Source organism: Homo sapiens, chromosome X (assembly GCF_000001405.40).
Source record: "Homo sapiens chromosome X, GRCh38.p14 Primary Assembly".
Lineage (NCBI taxonomy): Eukaryota > Metazoa > Chordata > Mammalia > Primates > Hominidae > Homo > Homo sapiens.
The window spans coordinates 25,296,986-25,321,355 of NC_000023.11; the positions used below are offsets into that span (position 1 = coordinate 25,296,986).

Genomic DNA, 24,370 nt, shown 5'->3' on the forward strand with positions numbered 1-24,370 from the left:
GCATATTCCATCCCTACAGTGTTTATTCATCACACAAAATGAATCATCCAAATTGGGGCATCATTATAGAAAGTGAAAGGGGAGTGCTGTTAATAATTAATTCAGGGTATCAGTACAAATAGGACTGTTCTGGGCAAATCCTAACCCACTTCCCCTAACTCTGATGCTGTATTTACTAAACAAACTTTTAACTACAATTGGTCTTCCTAAAGAGTTTTGTCAACAGAGAGAATGTAATGATAATTTATTCATTCAACATGTATTTATTGAGTAAAACACAGAGTTTTGCTTTCATGGGGCTTACAGTCTAGTAGAGAGATAGTCAATTAAGCTCTTACTATACACCATGATCAGTGTTGTGCTAAGGGAAGTATGAGGTAGCCTAGGTGGGTCACTACTAGGACTTGGAAGTTAGGAAGGTTTTCTGAGCTAAGACCTGAAGTAAAGTGTGATTGAAACATACTGGGCAAAGGAGGTATGGAAGAGAGTTTTTCCAGCCCAGGGTATATACAGGCCAGAAGCTAGAGAAAGCATTTATTCTAGCTCAGCGGTCCCCAACCTTTTTGGCACCAGGGATCGGTTTCATGGAAGACAGTTTTTCCACGGAGAGGGGTGGGGATGGTTTTGGGATGATTCAAGCGCATTACATTTATTGTGTACTTTATTTCTATTATTATTACATTGTAACATATAATGAAATAATTATACAACTCACCATGATGTAAAATCAGTGGGAGCCATGAGCTTGTTTTCCTGCAACTAGATGGTGCCATCTGGGAACAGATCAATAGGCATTAGATTCTCATAAGGAGCATGCAGCTTAGATCCCTCACATGTGCAGTTCATGACAGGGTTCATGCTCCTATGAGAATCTAATGCTGCTGCTGATCTGACAGGAGGCGGAGCTCAGCCAGTAATGTGAGCAATGGGGAGTGGCTGTAAATACAGATGAAGTTTCACTGATTCGCCTGCTGCTCACCAACTGGTGTGAGGCAGGGGTGGGCATGGGGTGGAGGGAGGAGTTGGGGGGCCCTGTTCTAGCTAATGAAAGATGTGTGTTAGGCTGAAACTTTGAGTGAAGAAGAGGAATAAGAGTTGTAATGGCAGAGATGGGAGAGGGCAGCTCTCAGAGCGCACAATCCATTCTGGACTCATCCACTTGACTTCATTGCCAGTCTGGACACACACCCGCTATGAGTTTCCAGGCCAGATTCAGGATTGAGCTGGAAGAAGGGAGAAGCTTCAAATTGAATGGGAATTGGATGTTTTGATTTAGATTAGATTGGACTTTATGAAAGTAATGTGCTTAATCAAATAGTAATGATTTAAACAGCAGTATCACACTTAAGACAAAAACACATGTCCCTATCTCTATCCCATTCTGCCTTTTGATTTCTACTTTTTGGAGGCACTCATGTTTAACTCAACATTTTTATCTGTTGCTTCTGCTATTTACTTCAAAATTCCTGTTACATCCTGATTTTTCAACTTTAAGCATTCTCTATTAACTTTGTTTCATGGTAAATGAGGATTTAGATACCTTTCATTACCACCTTGCCTCTTCTCTTCCCAATATACACATGTACGCCTATCCATCTTCCCAATATAATTATATTGTGATTTATTTTTATTAAATCAGTATTTCATGTTTATATTAGTATGCCTAGTAAACAGGAAGATTTGCAGCTGAGCAAATAATATTTCCGTGTACTACTTTTTACTCTTCCTGGTTTTAATTAGTTTTCTATGTACTTTTCACTAATTCTGCTTCCAAATTTTGTACATAATAATCAATATAGTCAATGAGGAAAAATCTATTAGTTGTATTTTTTTTTCTGTTGCACTGTCCTTTCTGAAATCCCATCTTCCTGACTCAGGCTGGATGGATTGGCTTGTCAGGCCCACTGCATAGTCTACATCTCAGGACTGCCCTTTGCAGTCATTCTGGGGATGCCTTTTGCCTCTATCCTGTGTTAAGCTCCCTAATCATGTTTCTTTCCTGATTTAGATTGGACTTTTTCTGCCCCTCCAAAAAGCTGAAATATCATCTAGGAGATTGACCCAACAAAGCAAATCTGAAAATAATGGTGGGTGAAAATCACTTTCTCTCTGGGGAAGAGGAAGTGGCTTTCATTCTATTAAGTCTAGTTTATTCAATAAACCAGTTAAATAATTGAAGGAATATCATGATCAGATTGTGTTTTAGCAACATTCATTTTCAACATCATGTGTTTATTGATATAATGGGGGAACAAGACGGGCATGGGGCCTACCCTCTTAAATCTAAACTCTATGATGTATACAGTCAAGATAGCAATTAGAATATAGTGTGAAAGGCGAGTACAAGGATAAGGTGCTATGGCCACGTGTGAGGGGGCACTTAACTCAGAAGTAGAATGAAGGATGGACTGAGGGAGCAAACAAAGGGTCACATATTGCATGATTCCAAGTATATGAAATATCCTGTATAGGTAATTTCATAGAGACAGAAAGATTAGTTGGTTGTCGGGATCTGGGGATAATGAGGAGTAACTGCTTAATGAGCACAGGGTTTCTTTAGAAGTGATGAAAATGTTCTGGAACTAGATAATTGTGATACTTGCAGAGCATTGTGAGTGTACTAAAAGCCACTGAATTGTATACTTTAAAATGGATAATTTTATGTCATGTAAATTTTACCTCAATAGAAAAAATAAAATAGAAGAGTGAGCAGTTAGAAGACTACTACCATGATAGTCCTGATGTGAGATACATTTTAAAAGTATTTATTTTAAAAGTATTATATTTATGTAGTTTTTGAATAGGCATGCACATGGCACAAGCTTCAAAAAGAACAAAAGGTTTAAAGTAAAATGTAAGTGTCCTTCCCTTCCTATCTGCCAGTCATCTAGTTCTCTTCCCTTGGAGGAAAACATAGTTATCAGATTCTTATGTATTTTGAGTCTATGCATAATGTTTATGTATTTGTGTGTTTATATATAAATATAAATATATCTCTTGTGTATATATTCATATATGTGTGTATTCAAATATATATTATTTTAAAATCAACTTGTAGTTTATGGGGTTTAGGATATGCCACCTCATAATATGGCACCCTGGCATTTGAGAAAACAGCAGAAGCAGGAAGGTCACTCTCACCTTTCCCCCACCTTTCTACCCTGAAGCAGGTCATCAAATCTAGGAAGGTCACTCTCTGACCATCTCCTACCTTTCTGCGCTGAAGCAGTTCATTTGAGAGGTGCTTTTCCTATACCTGGAGAAAAGTAACATCCTTATCTCTGGGAAAAGTAACACAGAGGCACAAAGAAGAATCTGAACAAACAGGCCTTGCTAAGTTCTCTCCAGTTTATTGCCATTAGATCATAGCCTTTTGTCCTCCAATCATACTTCTCCAAAACTTTCCACTCTTCAAACCTAAGCATAAAAATACACAAGCTTACCTGTTTCTTTGGGTCTTCATTTCCTTATGAAGGCTCCCATATGACAAACATCTTAAATAAATTTGTATGTTTTTCTCTTTTTAATTTGTCTTTTGTTATAGGTGCCTCAGCCATAAACCTAACAATGGGCGAAGAAAGGAAATCATTCTTTCCCTGTGTAGCATACTACAAACATATTCTGCATCTTGCTATCTTCACTTATATCTTGGAGGTCATTTCATATCATTACATAGAATGTTGCCTAGTTCTTCTTAATAGCTTCCTAGAATTCCATTATTGGACTATAATTTATTAATCTGTTCCTTATTAATGGATATTTAGATATTTAGACTTTCAGTTTTTTGCTGTTACCAACAATGCTATAGTGAATATTCTATATGTGTATATGTTATTTTGCACAAATGTGAGCATGTGATAAGGCCCTGAACCACAGCAGTGGCAAACGGAAGGAAGAGGAGGCGATGAGAGAACACGAGGGAGACACAAGCATGCAAGGAGACAGAATTTATCAAACGTGGCAACTGATTGCATATCATAGATGGAGAGGGAGAAGTTTGTATTGCTGTGCATTTTCAGTCCCTAGCAGAGGGCAGGCACGTAACAAATATTTTCAAAATGCAACCACAAGAATAGCTTAAAAGTTTTCTAGTATAAATTATGGGTTGTGGTAAATGAACCATTTTCATACCCACACTTGTTTTGATTTCCATGACCTCTCTCCCTTGGCATTCCTGGAGGGCTTTGGCTTGATAGTTTACTGACAAGCGGTCAATGACTTTTACTGAACAATGCATTGTATGACTCTTGGTTCTTTGTGTTGTAGATTATGGGCAGTGCAGCAGTTAATAAATAATTGCAAATCTGATTGTGGCATGCCAGTGTTCTTGAATAGAGTGAGTGTTTTATGAATCAGAACAAACATTATATTTAGGCTTCCATTTAATCTTGAGGTTAATGATATTTAACAGAATTGAAAATTATACTACATAGTGCCTTTAATCAGTGTTAAGAAAAAGATTTGCTGCTTTCTCCATCTCTTCATACCATGGAATATTTGGTATCTTATCTCTCTTCAGGAACTTAAAATTATTTCTTCTTAGAATTTCCTTAAAATATCTTTTATTCCCTAATTGAACTATGATTTAAAGGCATGGTAAGATTATAATTAAACTAGTTTTGACACCTACACAATACATACTCAGAATTTCAGTATATTCTTAATTTATGATGTGATTATTCAACATTAGTGACTGATATAATCAAATTACCATACTAACTATGACATTTGTGTTTAGGAAAATTTGCAACTGCAAACTTAAAAATTGTAGAGAGCCTTATTTCATGTTTATATGTGATTCTTTACACTCCCATAATCAGAAACAAAGCTGATAGTGGTTAGTGTAAACTTGCCTATATGCACCTAAATGTCCACTGTCTGTCTCTCTATTTTTCTATATTCTATCATCCAGTTGCTTTTGTTAGCAAAGTGTACAATTTCTACTTGTGTGGTTTTTATTAACCTCTCTTAGGCCTTTTGAAATTATTTGATTTAGACGTGGTGAGCCAGATTTAATTTTATGAAAAATTGTCTTCTAGCAACCCAGCAACTCTTTGGCTGCTATGTAAGTAGAAATGTAAATGTTAGAGTTTTTATAGGTAAACCTTATGGTTAAGGAGATTTCCTGTTATAAGAACAAGACAGCATGGTACTGGTACCAAAACAGAGATATAGATCAATGGAACAGAACAGAGCCCTCAGAAATAATGCCACATATCTACAACTATCTGATCTTTGACAAACCTGACAAAAACAAGAAATGGGGAAAGGATTCCCTATTTAATAAATGGTGCTGGGAAAACTGGCCAGCCATATGTAGAAAGCTGAAACTGGATCCCTTACTTACACCTTATACAAAAATTAATTCAAGATGGATTAAAGACTTAAACGTTAGACCTAAAACCATAAAAACCCTAGAAGAAAACCTAGGCAATACCATTCAGGACATAGGCATGGGCAAGGACTTCATGTCTAAAACACCAAAAGCAATGGCAACAAAAGCCAAAGTTGACAAATGGGATCTAATTAAACTCAATAGCTTCTGCACAGCAAAAGAAACTACCATCAGAGTGAACAGGCAACCTACAGAATGGGAGAAAATTTTTGCAATCTACTCATCTGACAAAGGGCTAATATCCAGAATCTACAATGAACTCAAACAAATTTACAAGAAGAAAACAAACAACCCCATCAAAAAGTGGGCAAAGGATATGAACAGACACTTCTCAAAAGAAGATATTTATGCAGCCAAAAGACACATGAAAAAATCCTCATCATCACTGGCCATCAGATAAATGCAAATCAAAACTACAATGAGATACCATCTCACACCAGTTAGAATGGCGATCATTAAAAAGTCAGGAAACAACAGGTGCTGGAGAGGATGTGGAGAAATAGGAACACTTTTACACTGTTGGTGGGACTGTAAACTAGTTGGACCATTGTGGAAGTCAGTGTGGCAATTCCTCAGGGATCTAGAACTAGAAATACCATTTGACCCAGCCATCCCATTACTGGGTATATACCCAAAGGATTATAAAACATGCTGCTATAAAGACACATGCACACGTATGTTTATTGCGTCACTATTCACAATAGCAAAGACTTGGAACCAACCCAAATGTCCAACAATGATAGACTGGATTAAGAAAATGTGGCACATATATATCATGGAATACTATGCAGCCATAAAAAATGATGAGTTCATGTCCTTTGTAGGGACATGGATGAAGCTGGAAACCATCATTCTCAGCAAACTATCGCCAGGACAAAAAAACCAAACACCGCATCTTCTCACTCATAGGTGGGAATTGAACAATGAAAACACATGGACACAGGAAGGGGAACATCACACACCGGGGCCTGTTGTGGGGTGAGGGGAGGGGGGAGGGATAGCATTAGGAGATATACCTGATGTTAAATGATGAGTTAATGGGTGCAGCACACCAACATGGCACATGTATACATATGTAACAAACCTGCACGTTGTGCACATGTACCCTAAAACTTAAAGTATAAAAAAAAAGAAATCTGAAGTAAAACTTTGAATAAAGAAATAAAATTGTCTTACCTCCTGCCATACTGATTAGCAAATTATGCATTTGAGTTGCCCAGAAACCTTTATTAATAGCTTGAGGTCATCAAAACAGTTCCTCAAGAAGCATTACTAAAAATCCCCCATAAACTGACTCAGGCTCCTTCACCTTTCCTTTCTCCTTTCCTTTAATAGACATTGTTAAGGCATTCTCACAGAGTGTATAAATTTATAGTCCTACAAGCGGCTTACAAGAAGCTGTTTCTTTACTGTCCCACCAACACAGTGTGCTATTTCAGTTGCTTTTTGTGAACCTTCCTTAGCTTGATTGTATCTTTTTTGAAGTTTAGAGACCAGATCTTTATCATTATCCTAGTCATAGACCAATTGCTATGGAGCCAGCTTTAATGTAGGTAATGAGGTTGGAGAAGGAAGATAAGAAAGCTTTTAAATATATTTTATATAATAGATACAAATATATTTTATTAGAAAATATTTCAAGCATGCAAAAATTTTAAAGAGTATTAGAACAAACATTCTTGTACAACACCACCCACCGTGTTGTACTTTATCCTTTTTGCAACATTTCTTTTACATCCTGTTTTAGAAGTGGAGTACTACATACAGATTTGAAGCTGCTTGTATACTCTCCCTAATATCATTTGTCTCTCTCTTTCCCCAGGAATATCCTTTTCAAGCGTATTTTTACTTCTACAATAAACATTATTGTTTTGCATGTTTTGGTGACACTGTGTGAGTTCTTCTTTGACATTTTTCCTCAACATCATGTGTTTGAGATTTCTCCATGTTGATATATGTTATTTATTTTATTGTCTTATAATTCTATATAAATGTCATAATTAATTTATTGTCTCATGGATGTACATTTGAGTTGCCAGCTTTATACTAATGCACACGGTACTGCAATGAATGTCCCCTAATAATGTGTCTCTGTCTCTCTTTTAACGTGAATAAGGAGGTATGTAATTCCAAGAGCTACTGCATCCATCTAGGAGGAGGAAATTACTGAGTCATAGGGAAACCAGTTCTGAGAAGGTAGTGTGGTGTAGGGTAACAGTTTATTGTTCTTGGAACAAAAAGTTTCTTACTATTTCTGGGTGTGAATTATGCAGGTAGGAAGACCATATCATGAATTTGGAGAGGTAGATGGGATGAAGGGCCCAATATGTTGGAAGCTTTGAATGATCTTAAGTGGGGAGTTATTTGATCAATTTTTCATTTTAAAGACATTGTTCTGGTGGGTTATGTGGAGGATGAACTAAAATTGGAATAAGGAGTGTTTCAATTAGTACCCTTTGCATTATAAGTAATAGAAAATCAAACTCAAGTTGAATTAAATAAGAAGGGAATTTATTGACACACAGGAGTGGAACGCCTAGAGGTAGAAAGGTAGGTTTGACCAAGCAGCTCAATGATGTCACCAAAAACACATTTTCCACCTCAGCTTTGTATTTCATGCGTTATCTCTACCATTTCCTGGTTGCCAGATGACTGCCAACAGCTCCTGGGACTGTAAACTTCATTGACCATGTCCAAAGTGGGAGGAAAGAGGGAGAGAGGGAGAGTGGGAGAAAGAGAGGGAGAGATAGAGAGAGAGAGAGAAAGAAAGAAAAACATATAGAGCACCTCTCATGCTCTCAACCTGATTTCTGATTGTACATGTTCACTACTGAACCAGTGTCCCAAGGGGGATGGAATTATTTGAATGGTTTATTTCATCAAGGACCTCCATTGAGGCTAGGGGATGGTGTTTATTTAACTCAAGAAGGCTGCTACATCAATGAGGGAGACATGGTTCCCTTTAGGACAGCCTCCCCACAGGCTGTTAGGAAGATGTAATAGATAAATTTAGGCTGGTTAGAAACTCAACAGATATCCTCCGTGACAGAGAAGTGAGCAAGCCTGGAGTGAGAGACATATATAAAGAGGTGATGAAACAGCAAAGTGATAAGGAACTTTGTTCATGGAAGTAGGGAGAGGTAGAAGGAAATGAACTTGAGAAATATGTAGGAAGCAGAACTTAGTGATTCATGATTATGGGGAGATAAGGGTAATGTATTAGTCAGGCTAGGCCAAACAGCCATAACAAAGAGATCTCAAAATCGAATAGCTCAAACCTTCAAAGTTTATTCCTCTCTTAGGTTTGGTGTGTGTTTTAGAGTGCTGCTGATGGCGGTGGTGGATAGATCTGATTCATCTTTTAGGGATCCCAGGTGATCTCACCTAGACCACCTTCAACATATAGCTTCCACGATTGCTTTGATTATTGCCATTCTCATCCTTAGGAAGGGGAAAGTGTGAGAACCTTGTCATAAGACAACTCCTAAACCACAAGTGAGACTGGGATGTATGGTATATATCACATAGATTTTGGTGGACAGCTGGCAGTCTTTGCTATAGGTAGACTGGTGGATGTTGACTCCCATGTTTCTAGTTTGAGCAATTGATGATTGATGGTTCAGCAAATGTGTTAGAGAATACAGAAGGAGGATTTGAAGTGAGAGGAGAAGGGGAGATAAAGAGTTCAGATTGGGATATCTTGAGTTTGATGTGTGTGCAAGGCATACAGGTGGAAATATATAATTGGCAGATGGCTATAAAAGCCTGGTCTTCATGAAGGGAGGTCAGAAATAGATATAGAGATTCGAGAGTCATTCATTATTAAGTGGTTGATTCTTGGGGTAATTTTTGCTTAAAAGTATTACCTGGCATTCACCTTGAAGCCCATCTTCCTCTTTTCTGCTGCCCACTCCTTCAATCATGTGACATTTTTAGGCAGTTTATCCCCAACCAGTTTGACAGCTCAGTACTTGGAAAAGCAAAATTTATTCTTCAAATATGGAGATGTCTTCCTCTCACAGATTGTTTATAAAAATGTCAAAATAATATCAGTGCTACATGATGGCTAGGGGATCCCATTGTTAGCATGACTCCAACTAGATAAGTGCTTTATAATCACTGCCTTTGATTGCCTGTCTTTAATTCAGCTCTCTATGCTTGACAAAACAATTAAGATTTTAAACAAATTATCTATGAGTTGTCCCTTATTCAAATGCTTTTTTATCCTAGTTGTGTATGATTTTTCCTTAGAGAAACCTTGTTCCTATTCTTCTAATAAGTTGTGAGTGATAGCATTTCCTATAATCCTGAATTTGTAAGTGAGTCTAAGAATTTTCCATGTAGGGGATGGGACTCACAGTTCTCAGGGTTTTCTCTACTATACCCATTATGGAAGGGATTGTGTTCCTAGAAAGCTCCCTCAGAGAGAGGAAAGATTGTTGCAATTTTTTGGCCTTGGCAAATATTTGTTTTGGAGTTAAAGAACTACGATGTGGCCGGGTGTGGTGGTTCATACCTGTAATCACAGCACTGTGGGAGGCCCAGGTGGGTGGATCACCTGAGGTCAGGAGTTCAAGACCAGCCTGGCCAACATGGTGAAACCCCGTCTCTACTAAAAGTACAAAAATTAGCTGTGCGTGGTGGTGGGCATCTGTAATCCCAGCTACTTGGGAGGCTGAGGCAGGAGAATCGCTTGACCCTGGGAGGCAGGGGTTGCAGTGAGTGTGAGCCGAGATTGTGCCATTGCACTCCAGCCTGGGAGACAAGAGCGAAACTCTGTCTCAAAAAAAAAAAAACAAAAAAAAAACTACAATGTGTTTTCCAGACATTTTCATCTATTCTATTCCATGGGTTCTTATTGTTACAAGGGGTCTAAGAAGTCATCCCTGTGGTCCTATTAGAACAAGTCAGGGAACCCTGTAGATTTGGCTTGGACACTTTCAGTACTGAACAGCTTAATACTTTTTAGGAAGATTGTTTCCTTGATGAACAGCTTTAAAGTGATTTTTTAGGTTGAGTTCATATCTGCCTACTTCTAATTCTACTCATTAGCTCTAGAACAGCAGATGTCAGCCCTTTTGTATAACGGTCTTTTAGCCTTAGAGAGGTCACTGTCTGACACATATATGGGATTATAGATAATATATGTAACTGGCTATATTATAACTACACCTTTGGATCATTTAAGTAAACACCGAAATGCAAATGAGGGAGTGAACAACTGGTAACATTGACCCCTTTCTGGTTTATATAAATCACTTGCAAATGTCCAAACTTCAATAATTAAAAATAACAAATTATTTGCTACTCATCGCCAGAGTAAAACACAAGAGTTCATCCAATATTTAAATATAGCTCAGATAGTCCACCCTTAGTCTTCTCACCTTGGGCTATTTATGCCCTTTTATGCCATCCCATTGTTATTGTTATTTTTTGTTTTTATTTTATCTGTTGAGAGTAAGATTTTTATTTATTTATTTATTCTCTTTCCAACTTTTATTTTAGATTTGGGGGTATACATGCAGGTTTGTTACATGGGTAAATTGTGTGTCACGGGGGTTTCGTGTACAGATTCTTTTGTTACCCAGGTAATAAACATAGTACCTGATGGGTAGTTTTTCCATCCTCACCTTCCTCCTGCCCTCCACTCTCAAATAGGCCCCAGTGTCTATTGTGCCCTCTTTGTGTCCATGTGTACTCAATGTTTAGCTCCTATTTATAAATGAGAACATGCAGTATTTAGTTTTCTGTTCCTGCATCAATTTGCTTAGGATAATGGCCTCTCGCACCATCCATGTTGCTGTAAAGGACATGATTTCTTTTTTTATGGCTGTGTAGCATTTCATGGTGTATATGTACTACATTTTCTTTATCCAATCCACTGTTGATTGGCAGCTAGGTTGTTTCCATGTCTTTGCTATTGCAAATAGTGCTGTGATGAACATGCATGTGCATGTGTCTTTATGAGAGCATGATTTATATTCCTTTGGGTATATATCCAATAATGGAATTACTGGGTTGAATGGTAATTATGTTTTCAGTTATTTGAGAAAGCTCTAAACTGTTTTCCACAGTGGCTGAACTAATTTACATTCACGCCAGCAGTGTATAAGTAGTCCCTTTTCTCTACAACCTCGTCAGCATCTGTTATTTTGCGACTTTTAATAATAAGCATTCTTATTGGTATGAGATGGTATCTTATTGTGGTTTTGATTTGCATTTCTCTAAGGATTAGTGATGTTGGGCATTTTTTCATATGCTTGTTGGCCATGTGTATGTCTTCTTTTCAGGAGTGTCTCTTCATGTGCTTTGCCCATTTTTAATGTTTTTTTAATGCTACATAAAATGCTTTATTCACTTCACTTTAAAAGATTTTTTAAAGCCTCCGGTATTTGTTTATTTTTAAACTTTTAGGTTCACAGGTAAATGTGCAGGTTTGTTACATAGGTAAATTGTGTGTCGTGGGGGTTTGGTGTACAGATTATTTCATCACCCAGGTAATAAGTATAGTACCTGATAGGTAGTTTTTTGATCCTCACCCTCCTCCCACTCTCCACCCTCGAGTAGCTCCCAGTGTCTGTTGGTCCCTTCTTTGTGTGCATGTGTGCTCAATGTTTATCTCCACTTTTAAGTGAGAACATGTGGTATTTAGTTTTCCGTTCCAGTGTTAGTTCGCTTAGGATAATGGCCTCCAGCTCTATCTGTGTAGCAACACAGACGTGATCTTGCAAAGGATATGATCTTGTTGTTTTTTATGGCTGTGTAGTATTCCATGGTGTATATATGCCACATTTTCTTTATCCAGTCTGCCACTGATGGGCATTTAGATTGATTTCATGTCTTTGCTATTGCGAATAGTGCTTTGGTGAACATACATGTGCCTGTGTCTTTATGGTACAATGTTTTATATTCCTTTGGGTATATACCCAATACTCAGATTGCTAGGTCAAATAGTACTTCTGTCTTAAGTTCTTTGAGAAATTGCCATGCTGCTTTCCACAATGGCTGAACTAATTTACATTCCTAACAGCAGTGAATAAGTGTTCCCTTTTCTCTGCAACCTTGCCAGCATCTGTTATTTTTTGAGTTTTTGATGATAGTCATTTTGACTGGTATGAGATGGTATCTCATTGTGGTTTTGATTTTCATTTCTCTAATGATTGGTGATGTTGAGCATTTTTTCATATGCTTGTTGGCCATGTGTATGTCTTCTTTTGAAAATTATCTGTTCATGTCCTTTGCCCACTAGTTAATGGGATTGTTCGTTTTTTGTTAGTTGATTTAAGATCCTTATAGATTCTGGATATTAGATCTTTGTCAGATGAATAGTTTGCAAATATTTTCTCCCATTCTTTAGATTGTCTCTTTACTCTGTTGATAGTTCCTTTTGCTGTGCAGAAGCTCTTTAGTCTAATTAGGTGCCACTTGTACATTTTTGTTTTTGTTGCAATTGCTTTTGGTGTCTTTGTCAAGAAATCTTTACCAGGGCCTATGTCCAGGATGGTATTTCTTAGGTTTTCTTCTGGAGTTTTTATAGTTTCAGGTTTTACATTTAAGTCTTTAATCCATCTTGAGTTAATTTTTGTATATGGTGAAAGGTAGGGGCCCAGTTTCAATCTTCTGCATATGGCTAGTCAGTTATCCCAGCACCATTTAATGAATAGGGAGTCTTTTCCTATTGCTTGTTATTGCTGGCTTTGTTGAAGATTAGATGACAGTAGGTGTACAGCTTTATGTTTAGGTTCTCTCACCTGTTCCATTGGTCTATGTGTCTGTTTTTGTACCAGTACCATGCTGTTTTAGTTACTGTAACCTTGAAGCACAGTTTGAATTTGGGTAGTATGATGCTTCTGGCTTAGTTCTTTTTACTTAGGATAGCTTTGGCTATTTGGACTCTTTTTGGTTTCCATATGAATTTTAGAATAGTTATAATTCTGTGAGAAATGTCATTGGTAATTTGATAGGAATAGCATCCAATCTATACATTGCTTTGGGTAGTATGGCCATTTTAACAATACTAATTCTATCTGAGCATGGAATGTTTTCCCACTTGTTTGTGTCATCTCTGATTTCTTTCAGCAGTGTTTTATAATTCTCATTGTAGAGCTCTTTCACTTCCCTGGTATTTTATTCTTTTTGTGGCTATTGTGAATGGGTTTGCATTCTTGATTTGGCTGTCAGCTTGGACCTTACTGGTATATAGAAATGCTATTGATTTTTGTACATTGATCTTGTTTTTTGAGACTTTGCTGAAGTTGTTTATCAGATTGAGGAGCCTTTGGGCAGAGACTATGGGGTTTTCTAGGTATACAATCATCATATTGTCAGTGAAGAGAGATAGTTTGACTTCTTTTTTTTTTTTTTTTAAATTTAGATGCCTTTTATTTCTTTCTCTTGCCTGACTACTCTGGCCAGGATTTGCAGTACTATGTTAAATAGGAGTGGTGAGAGTGGGCATCCTTGTCTTGTTCTGGTTCTTAAGGGGAATGCTTCTAGTTATTACCCATTCAGTATAATGTTCGCTGTGGGTTTGTCATAAATGGCTCTTATTATTTTGACGTATGTTCCTTCAATGCCTAGTTTGTTGAGGGTTTTTAACATAAAGCGATGTTGAATTTTATCAAAAGCCTTTTCTGCATCTATTGAGATGATCATGTGTTTTTTGTTTTTAGTTTTATTTATGTGATGAATCACATTTATTGATTTGTGTGTGTTGAACCAACCTTACATCCCAGGAATAAAGTCTGCTTGATTGTGGTGGATTAGCTTTTCTATGTGCTGCTGGATTCAGTTTGCTAGTATGTTGTTGAGAAATTTTGCATCTATGTTCATGAGGGATATTGGCCTGAAGTTTTCTTTTTTTGTTGTGCCTCTTCCAGGTTTTGGTACATCATGAGAATGATGCTGGTCTCATAGAATGAGTTAGATAGGAATCCCTCTTCCTCAATTTTTTTGGAATCCTTTCAGTAGGATTGGTATGAGTTATTTCTATGTCTTGTAGAATTCGGGTGTGACTCTCTCTGGTCCCGTGCTTTTCCTGGTTGGTAGTGTTTTTTATTATTACTGATTCAATTTTGGAACTCATTTTTGGTCTGTTCAGGATTTCAGTTTCTTCCTAGTTCAATCTTGGAAGGTTGTATGTTTCCAGGAATTTAACCATTTCTACTAGGTTTTCTAGTTTGTGTGCATGTAATAGTCTCTGAGGCCTTTCTAAAAAAATTTCTGTGGGGTCAGTGGTAATATTCCCTTTGTCATTTCTGACTGTGTTTATTTGGATCTTCTTTTTTTCTTTATTAGTCAAGCTAGCAGCCAATCAACCTTATTTATTATTTCAAATAACCAATTTTTGGATTTATTGATCTTTTGTATGGTTTTTCTCATCTCCATTTCATTCAGTTCATCTCTGATTTTGGTTATCTTATTTATTTTGCTGGCTTTGATGTTGGTTTGCTCTTGTTTTTCTTTTCTTTTTTTATTATTATTATACTTTAAGTTTTAAGGTACATGTGCACAATGTGCAGGTTTGTTACATATGTATACATGTGCCATGATGGTGTGCTGCACCCATTAACTCATCATTTAGCATTAGGTATATTTCCTAATGCTCTCCCTCCCCCCTCCCCCCAACCCACAACAGTCCCTGGTGTGTGATGTTCCCCTTCCTGTGTCCATGTGTTCTCATTGTTCAACTCCCACCTACGAGTGAGAACATGCGGTGTTTGGTTTTTTGTCCTGGCGATAGTTTGCTGAGAATGATGGTTTCCAGCTTCATCCATGTCCCTACAAAGGACATGAACTCATCATTTTTTATGGCTGCATAATATTCCATGGTGTATATGTGCCACATTTTCTTAATCCAGTCTACAATTGTTGGACATTTGGGTTGGTTCCAAGTCTTTGCTATTGTGAATAGTGATGCAATAAACATACGTGTGCATGTGTCTTTATAGCAGCATGTTTTATAATCCTTTGGGTATATACCCAGTAATGGGATGGCTGGGTCAAATGGTATTTCTAGTTCTAGATCCCTGGGGAATTGCCACACTGACTTCCACAATGGTCCAACTAGTTTACAGTCCCACCAACAGTGTAAAAGTGTTCCTATTTCTCCACATCCTCTCCAGCACCTGTTGTTTCCTGACTTTTTAATGATCACCATTCTAACTGGTGTGAGATGGTATCTCATTGTGGTTTTGATTTGCATTTCTCTGATGGCCAGTGATGATGAGGATTTTTTCATGTGTTTTTTGGCTGCATAAGTGTCTTCTTTTGAGAAGTGTCTGTTCATATCCTTTGCCCACTTTTTGATGGGGTTGTTTGTTTTCTTCTTGTAAATTTGTTTGAGTTCATTGTAGATTCTGGATATTAGCCCTTTGTCAGATGAGTAGATTGCAAAAATTTTCTCCCATTCTGTAGGTTGCCTGTTCACTGTGACAGTGGTTTCTTTTCTGTGCAGAAGCTCTTTAGTTTAACTAGATCCCATTTGTCAACTTTGGCTTTTGTTGCCATTGCTTTTGGTGTTTTAGACATGAAGTCCTTGCCCATGCCTATGTCCTGAATGGTATTGCCTAGGTTTTCTTCTAGGGTTTTTATGGTTTTAGGTCTAACGTTTAAGTCTTTAATCCATCTTGAATTAATTTTTGTATAAGGTGTAAGTAAGGGATCCAGTTTCAGCTTTCTACATATGGCTAGCCAGTTTTCCCAGCACCATTTATTAAATAGGGAATCCTTTCCCCATTTCTTGTTTTTGTCAGGTTTGTCAAAGATCAGATAGTTGTAGATATGCGGTGTTATTTCTGAGGGCTCTGTTCTGTTCCATTGGTCTATATCTCTGTTTTGGTACCAGTACCATGCTGTTTTGGTTACTGTAGCCTTGTAGTGTAGTTTGAAGTCAGGTAGCGTGATGCCTCCAGCTTTGTTCTTTTGGCTTAGGATTGACTTGGCGATGTGGGCTCTTTTTTGGTTCCATATGAACTTTAAAGTAGTTTTTTCCAATTCTGTGAAGAAAGTCATTGGTAGCTTGATGGGGATGGCATTGAATCTATAAATCACCTTGGGCAGTATGGCCATTTTCACGATATTGATTCTTCCTAGCCATGAGCATGGAATGTTCTTCCATTTGTTTGTATCCTCTTTTATTTCATTGAGCAGTGGTTTGTAGTTCTCCTTGAAGAGGTCCTTCACATCCCTTGTAAGTTGGATTCCTAAGTATTTTATTCTCTTTGAAGCAATTGTGAATGGGAGCTCACTCATGATTTGGCTCTCTGTTTGTCTGTTATTGGTGTATAAGAATGCTTGTGATTTTTGCACATTGATTTTGTATCCTGAGACTTTGCTGAAGTTGCTTATCAGCTTAAGGAGATTTTGGGCTGAGACAATGGGGTTTTCTAGATATACAATCATGTCGTCTGCAAACAGGGACAATTTGACTTCCTCTTTTCCTAATTGAATACCCTTTATTTCTTTCTCCTGCCTCATTGCCCTGGCCAGAACTTCCAACACTATGTTGAATAAGAGTGGTGAGAGAGGGCATCCCTGTCTTGTGCCAGTTTTCAAAGGGAATGCTTCCAGTTTTTGTCCATTCAGTATGATATTGGCTGTGGGTTTGTCATAGATAGCTCTTATTATTTTGAGATACGTCCCATCAATACCTAATTTATTGACAGTTTTTAGCATGAAGCGTTGTTGAATTTTGTCAAAGGCCTTTTCTGCATCTATTGAGATAATCATGTGGTTTTTGTCTTTGGTTCTGTTTATATGCTGGATTACATTTATTGATTTGCATATATTGAACCAGCCTTGCATCCCAGGGATGAAGCCCACTTGATCATGGTGGATAAGCTTTTTGATGTGCTGCTGGATTTGGTTTGCCAGTATTTTATTGAGGATTTTTGCATCAATGTTCATCAAGGCTATTGGTCTAAAATTCTCTTTTTTTGTTGTGTCTCTGCCTGGCTTTGGTATCAGGATGATGCTGGCCTCATAAAATGAGTTAGGGAGGATTCGCTCTTTTTCTATTGATTGGAATAGTTTCAGAAAGAATGGTACCAGTTCCTCCTTGTACCTCTGGTAGAATTCGGCTGTGATTCCATCTGGTCCTGGACTCTTTTTGGTTGGTAAGCTATTGATTATTGCCACAATTTCAGATCCTGTTATTGGTCCATTCAGAGATTCAACTTCTTCCTGGTTTAGTCTTGGGAGAGTGTATTTGTTGAGGAATTTATCCATTTCTTCTAGATTTTCTAGTTTATTTGCGTAGAGGTGTTTGTAGTATTCTCTGATGGTAGTTTGTATTTCTGTGGGATCAGTGGTGATATCCCCTTTATCATTTTTTATTGCGTCTATTTGATTCTTCTCTCTTTTTTTCTTTACTAGTCTTGCTAGCGGTCTATCAATTTTGTTGATCCTTTCAAAAAACCAGCTCCTGGATTCATTAATTTTTTGAAGGGTTTTTTGTGTCTCTATTTCCTTCAGTTCTGCTCTGATTTTAGTTATTTCTTGCCTTCTGCTAGCTTTTGAATGTCTTTGCTCTTGCTTTTCTAGTTCTTTTAATTGTGATGTTAGGGTGTCAATTCTGGATCTTTCCTGCTTTCTCTTGTGGGCATTTAGTGCTGTAAATTTCCCTCTACACACTGCTTTGAATGTGTCCGAGAGATTCTTGTATGTTGTGTCTTTGTTCTCGTTGGCTTCAAAGAACATCTTTATTTCTGCCTTCATTTCATTATGTACCCAGTAGTCATTCAGGAGCAGGTTGTTCAGTTTCCATGTAGTTGAGCGGTTTTGAGTGAGTTTCTTAATCCTGAGTTCTAGTTTGATTGCACTGTGGTCTGAGAGACAGTTTGTTATAATTTCTGTTCTTTTACATTTGCTGAGGAGGGCTTTACTTCCAACTATGTGGCTGCTCGGGGGTCAGGGGTCAGGGACCCACTTGAGGAGGCAGTCTGCCCGTTCTCAGATCTCCAGCTGCGTGCTGGGAGAACCACTGCTCTCTTCAAAGCTGTCAGACAGGGACATTTAAGTCTGCAGAGGTTACTGCTGTCTTTTTGTTTGTCTGTGCCCTGCCCCCAGAGGTGGAGCCTACGGAGGCAGGCAGGCCTCCTTGAGCTGTGGTGGGCTCCACCCAGTTGGAGCTTCCTGGCTGCTTTGTTTACCTAAGCAAGCCTGGGCAATGGTGGGCGCCCCTTCCCCAGCCTTGCTGCTGCCTTGCAGTTCGATCTCAGACTGCTGTACTAGCAATCAGTGAAACTGCGAGGGCATAGGATCCTCCGAGCCAGGTGCGGGATATAATCTCTTGGTGCACCGTTTCCTAAACCCATTGGAAAAGCGCAGTATTCAGGTGGGAGTGACCTGATTTTCCAGGTGCCGTCTGTCACCCCTTTCCTTGACCAGGAAAGGGAACTCCCTGACCCCTTGTGCTTCCCGAGTGAGGCAATGCCTCGCCCTGCTTCGGCTCGCACACGGTGTGCTGCACCCACTGTCCTGTGCCCACTGTCTGGCACTCCCTAGTGAGATGAACCCGGTACCTCAGATGGAAATGCAGAAATCACCTGTCTTCTGTGTTGCTCACGCTGGGAGCTGTAGACCAGAGCTGTTCCTATTCGGCCATCTTGGATCTCCTTCCTAGTTCTTTTAATTGTGATGTTAGGGTGTCAATTTTAGATCTTTCCTGCTTTCTCTTGTGGGCATTTAGTGCTATAAATTTCCCTCTACAGATTGCTTTGAATGTGTCCCAGAGATTGTTGTATGTTGTGTCTTTGTTCTCGTTAGTTTCAAAGAACATGTTTATTTCTGCCTTCATTTCATTATGTACCCAGTAGTCATTCAGGAGCAGGTTGTTCAGTTTCCATGTAGTTGAGCGGTTTTGAGTGAGTTTCTTAATCCTGAGTTCTAGTTTGATTGCACTGTGGTCTGAGAGACAGTTTATTATAATTTCTGTTCTTTTACATTTGCTGAGGAGGGCTTTTCTTCCAACTATGTGGTCAATTTTGGAATAGGTGTGGTGTGGTGCTGAAAAGAATGTCTATTCTGTTGATTTCGGGTGGAGAGTTCTGTATATGTCTATTAGGTCTGTTTGGTGCAGAGCTGAGTTCAATTCCTGTATATCCTTGTTAACTTTCTGCCTCATTGATCTGTCTAATGTTGACAGTGGGGTGTTAAAGTCTCCCATTATTATTGTGTGGGAGTCTGAGTCTCTTTGTAGGTCACTCAGGACTTGCTTTATGAATCTGGGTGCTCCTGTATTGGGTGCATATATATTTAGGACAGTTAGTTCTTGTTGAATTGATCCCTTTACCATGATGTAATGGCCTTCTTTGTCTCTTTTGATCTTTGTTGGTTTAAAGTCTGTTTTATCAGAGACTAGGATTGCAACCCCTGCCTTTTTTTGTTCTCCATTTGCTTGGTAGATCTTCCTCCGTCCCTTTATTTTGAGCCTATGTGTGTCTCTGCACATGAGATAGGTTTCCTGAATACAGCACACTGGTGGGTCTTGACTCTTTATCCAATTTGCCAGCCTGTGCCTTTTAATTGGAGCATTTAGCCCATTTACATTTAAGGTTAGTATTGTTATGTGTGAATTTGATCCTGTCATTATGATGTTAGCTGGTTATTTTGCTCGTTAGTTGATGCAGTTTCTTTCTTGCCTTGATGGTCTTTACATTTTGGCATGTTTTTGCAGTGGCTGGTACTGGTTGTTCCTTTCCATGTTCAGTGCTTCCTTCAGGAGCTCTTTTAGGGCAGGTCTGGTGGTATCAAAATCTCTCAGCATTTGCTTGTTTGTGAAGTATTTTATTTCTCCTTCACTTATGAAGCTTAGTTTGGCTGGATATGAAATTCTGGGTTGAAAATTCTTTTCTTTAAGAATGTTGAATACTGGCCCCCACTGTCTTCTGGCTTGTAGAGTTTCTGCCGAGAGATCAGCAGTTAGTCTGATGGGCTTCCCTTTGTGGGTAACCTGACCTTTCTCTCTGGCTGCCCTTAACATTTTTTCCTTCATTTCAACTTTGGTGAATCTGACAATTATGTGTCTTGGAGTTTCTCTTCTCGAGGAGTATCTTTGTGGTGTTCTCTGTATTTCCTGAATTTGAATGTTGGCCTGCCTTGCTAGATTGGGGAAGTTCTCCTGGATAATATCCTGCAGAGTGTTTTCCAACTTGGTTCCATTCTCCCCGTCACTTTCAGGTACACCAATCAGATGTAGATTTGGTCTTTTCACATAGTCCCATATTTCTTGGAGGCTTTTTTCATTTCTTTTTATTCTTTTTTCTCTAAACTTCTCTTCACGCTTCATTTCATTCATTTCGTCTTCCATCACTGACACCCTTTCTTCCAGTTGATCGTATCGGTTACTGAGGTTTGTGCATTCGTCACGTAGTTCTCGTGCCATGGTTTTCAGCTCCATCAGGTCCTTTAAGGACTTCTCTGCATTGGTTATTCTAGTTATCCATTCATCTAATTTTTTTTCAAAGTTTTTAACTTCTTTGCCATTGGTTCGAACTTCCTCCTTTAGCTCGGAGTAGTTTGATCTTCTGAAGCCTTCCTCTCTCAACTCGTCAAAGTCATTCTCCATCCAGCTTTGTTCCGTTGCTGGTGAGGAGCTGCATTCCTTAGGAGGAGGAGAGGCGCTCTGATTTTTAGAGTTTCTGGTTTTTCTGCTCTGTTTTTTCCCCATCTTTGTGGTTTTATCTACCTTTGGTCTTTGATGATGGTGATGTACAGATGGGTTTTTGGTGTGGATGTCCTTTCTGTTTGTTAGTTTTCCTTCTAACAGTCAGGACCCTCAGTGGCAGGTCTGTTGATGTTTACTGGAGGTCCACTCCAGACCCTGTTTGCCTGGGTATCAGCAGCAGTGGCTGCGGAACAGCGGATATTGGTGAACCGCAAATGCTGTTGTCTGATCGTTCCTCTGGAAGGTTTGTCTCAGAGGAGTACCCAGCCGTGTGAGGTGTCAGTCTGCCCCTACTGGCGGGTGTCTCCCAGTTAGGCTACTCGGGGGTCAGGGACCCACTTGAGGAGGCAGTCTGTCCGTTCTCAGATCTCCAACTGCGTGCTGGGAGAACCACTACTGTCTTCAAAGCTGTCAGACAGGGACATTTAAGTCTGCAGAGGTTATTGCTGTCTTTTGTTTGTCTGTGCCCTGCCCCCAGAGGTGGAGCCTACAGAGGCAGGCAGGCCTCCTTGAGCTGTGGTGGGCTCCACCTAGTTCGAGCTTCCTGGCCGTCTTGTTTACCTACTCAAGCCTGAGCAATGGTGGGCGCCCCTCCCCCAGCCTCTCTGCCGCCTTGCAGTTTCATCTGAGACTGCTGTTCTAGCAATGATCGAGGCTCCATGGGTGTAGGACCCTCCAAGTCACGTGCAGGATATAATCTCCTGGTGTGCCATTTGATAAGCCCGTTGGAAAAGTGCGGTATTAGGGTGGGAGTGACCTGATTTTCCAGGTGCCGTCTGTCACCCATTTCTTTGAGTAGGAACGGGAATTCCCTGACCCCTTGTGCTTCCTGGGTGAGGCAATGCCTCGCCCTGCTTCAGCTCACGCTTGGTGTGCTGCACCCACTGTCCTGCACCCACTGTCCGGCACTCCCCAGTGAGATGAACCCAGTACCTCAGTTGGAAATGCAGAAGTCACCTGTCTTCTGCGTCGCTCACGCTGGGAGCTGCAGACTGGAGCTGTTCCTAGTCGGCCATCTTGGCTCCACCCCCAGTTTGCTCTTGTTTTTCTAGTTCCTCTAGGTGTCATGTTAGGTTGTTAATTGAGAACTTTCTAACTTTTTGATGTGGGCCTTTAGCACTACAAACTTTCCTCTTAACATTGCTGTAGCTGTGTCCCATAGATTCTTAAATGTTTTATCTTTGTTTTCATTAGTTTCAAATAATTTGATTTCTGCCTTAATTTTATTGTTTACCCAAATGTCATTCAGAAGCAGGTTGTTTAATTTTCATGTAATTATATGGTTTTGAGAGATCTTGGTATTGATTTCTATTTTCATTGTGCTGTGGTCTGTGACTGTGGTTGATATGCTTTTGTTGTTTTTGAATTTGTTGAGAATTGATTTATGGTCGAACATATGGTTGATTTTAGAATTTGTGCCATGTGCACATGAGAAGAATGTATATTCTGTTGTTTTTGGGTGGAATGTTCTATAGATATCTGTTAGGTCCATTTGATCAAGTGTTGAGTTTAGGCCCTGAATAGTTTTCTACTCCAATAATCTGTCTAATACTGTCAGTGGGGTGTTGCAGTCCTCTGTTATTATTGTGTGGTTATCTAAGTCTCTTCGTGGATCTCTAAGAACTTGGTTTATCAATCTGATGTTCCAGTGTTGTATCCAGCTTTTATAAACTATAATTTCTGGACCCTCACTGTTCTGTTTGCCCTACTCTGTACAAATGGTTATTTGTTAATGTTCTCCTTAAATTGTCACATGTCAAAATTGGACGTGACATTCCAAATATGGTCTGTACACTGCATGGCTCATTGCTTGGTGGGAATGGTATATTCTGTTTTTGGTTGCATTTGAATAATATCTTTTTTAAAAAAATTATATTTTAAGTTCTGGGATACATGTGCAGAATGTGCAGGTTTGTTACATAGGTATACATGTGCCATAGTGGTTTGCTGCACCCATCAACCCGTCACCTACATTAGATATTTCTCCTAATGCTATCCCTCCGCTGTCCCCCCACTCCCTGACAGGGCCCTGTGTGTGATGTTCCCCTCCCTGTGTCCATGTGTTCTCATATTCTAAAGCACTCGAAGATTAAGGAATAAGATGTTGGAAATTAGAATATTTTCTCCCAGGTTTTAAGTACAAGGTGCAAATAATTCAAGGTGTGTGTGTATGTGTATTCTGACCCAAAAGTTTGCTATTAGTGAGGACCTGTTATAAATCTTTGCAATCTGTGTATTTACTAACTAGTGCCAAAGGCTTTGAATTATCAAGTCCATAATAAGGAATAATTGAATTCATGATTATTGCTCTGTTTCTCTTCTATTTTCAAAAAATAAATTTGTTAGTTTCAATTAGATCCTATATATTAATTATGGGTATCAGTAATTCAGTATTTCCAAATTTAAACGGTTGAATATATTATTTGAGATAGTGCCCCAGTTGTGAAATGTCTTCTTATCTTTCCATACTTCTCTGTGGATTGAAAGTCACTTCAAATGCTACTGCCAGTTTACCCTGCTGTTTACCTGGAAGTGATTTCTTCCTTATTTGAATTCTTTTAGTTCTTTCTTGACAGCTATCCTACCCATCATTATATTATGGATATTTGTGTATGGGTTTAATCTCCTGTAAGAGAATACAGATTCTTAAGAGAATCTAATATGTTTTATTCATTCTTAAATGCCTCAGATAGCCTACCCAGTGCCTTGAATCTAATTTGTGCTCATTAGTCACTGAATATAAATGCAAGAAGGCTAAATATTTAAAAATGCCTTCATAGTAGTGGATTTAGTAAGTAAGCACATGTAATATGAACCAAAAATATATTTGATAATGAAGTACTAAAGCACCCAGTTAATGAATTAACTAATTATAATTCTCTGGTGTGGACTGATTTGTTGGGATTGTTTATATTTATGTATTAGATACAATACATGTTTTGTGATAGAAGAAAAGCAGAATTATATAGAAAGAATATTACCAGCATCATCCAGTATATTGTCTACAGGTTTCAGTCCCTTCAGACTTGCTGATGCTTATTTGGATGTTCTAAATAGTGGATTTAAAAATTAACTTTTGCAAACCGATTCATTCCTGGGGAATAGGAACAAATATTCTGTAGAGTTGCTCTTATTTTATATATTAATATCATCTCCTCATCTTGAAGAAGCTAGTATAATTGTTGGGCAAGAGGAAATACCCTTCTTGATCTTACTGATCTTAGTGATTTACTGTGTGGTAAGCCACTTTGCATTATCTCATTTAATCTTTACAAATTTTTAAAACAATCAGTGAGGTAGACTTTATA

At 38.7% G+C, this 24,370-nt stretch overlaps 4 annotated features.

The window, feature by feature from the left end:
* Positions 18,070 to 18,570: an enhancer, noted in NCBI's record as "H3K4me1 hESC enhancer chrX:25333172-25333672 (GRCh37/hg19 assembly coordinates)". NCBI's record gives its function as "activates a minimal SCP1, AML or CMV promoter by ChIP-STARR-seq in primed H9 embryonic stem cells {active_cell/tissue: H9 hESC(primed)}" and the evidence as "EXISTENCE:reporter gene assay evidence [ECO:0000049][PMID:30033119]".
* Positions 18,571 to 19,071: an enhancer, noted in NCBI's record as "H3K4me1 hESC enhancer chrX:25333673-25334173 (GRCh37/hg19 assembly coordinates)". NCBI's record gives its function as "activates a minimal SCP1, AML or CMV promoter by ChIP-STARR-seq in primed H9 embryonic stem cells {active_cell/tissue: H9 hESC(primed)}" and the evidence as "EXISTENCE:reporter gene assay evidence [ECO:0000049][PMID:30033119]".
* Positions 21,111 to 21,612: an enhancer, noted in NCBI's record as "H3K4me1 hESC enhancer chrX:25336213-25336714 (GRCh37/hg19 assembly coordinates)". NCBI's record gives its function as "activates a minimal SCP1, AML or CMV promoter by ChIP-STARR-seq in naive H9 embryonic stem cells {active_cell/tissue: H9 hESC(naive)}" and the evidence as "EXISTENCE:reporter gene assay evidence [ECO:0000049][PMID:30033119]".
* Positions 21,613 to 22,112: an enhancer, noted in NCBI's record as "H3K4me1 hESC enhancer chrX:25336715-25337214 (GRCh37/hg19 assembly coordinates)". NCBI's record gives its function as "activates a minimal SCP1, AML or CMV promoter by ChIP-STARR-seq in naive H9 embryonic stem cells {active_cell/tissue: H9 hESC(naive)}" and the evidence as "EXISTENCE:reporter gene assay evidence [ECO:0000049][PMID:30033119]".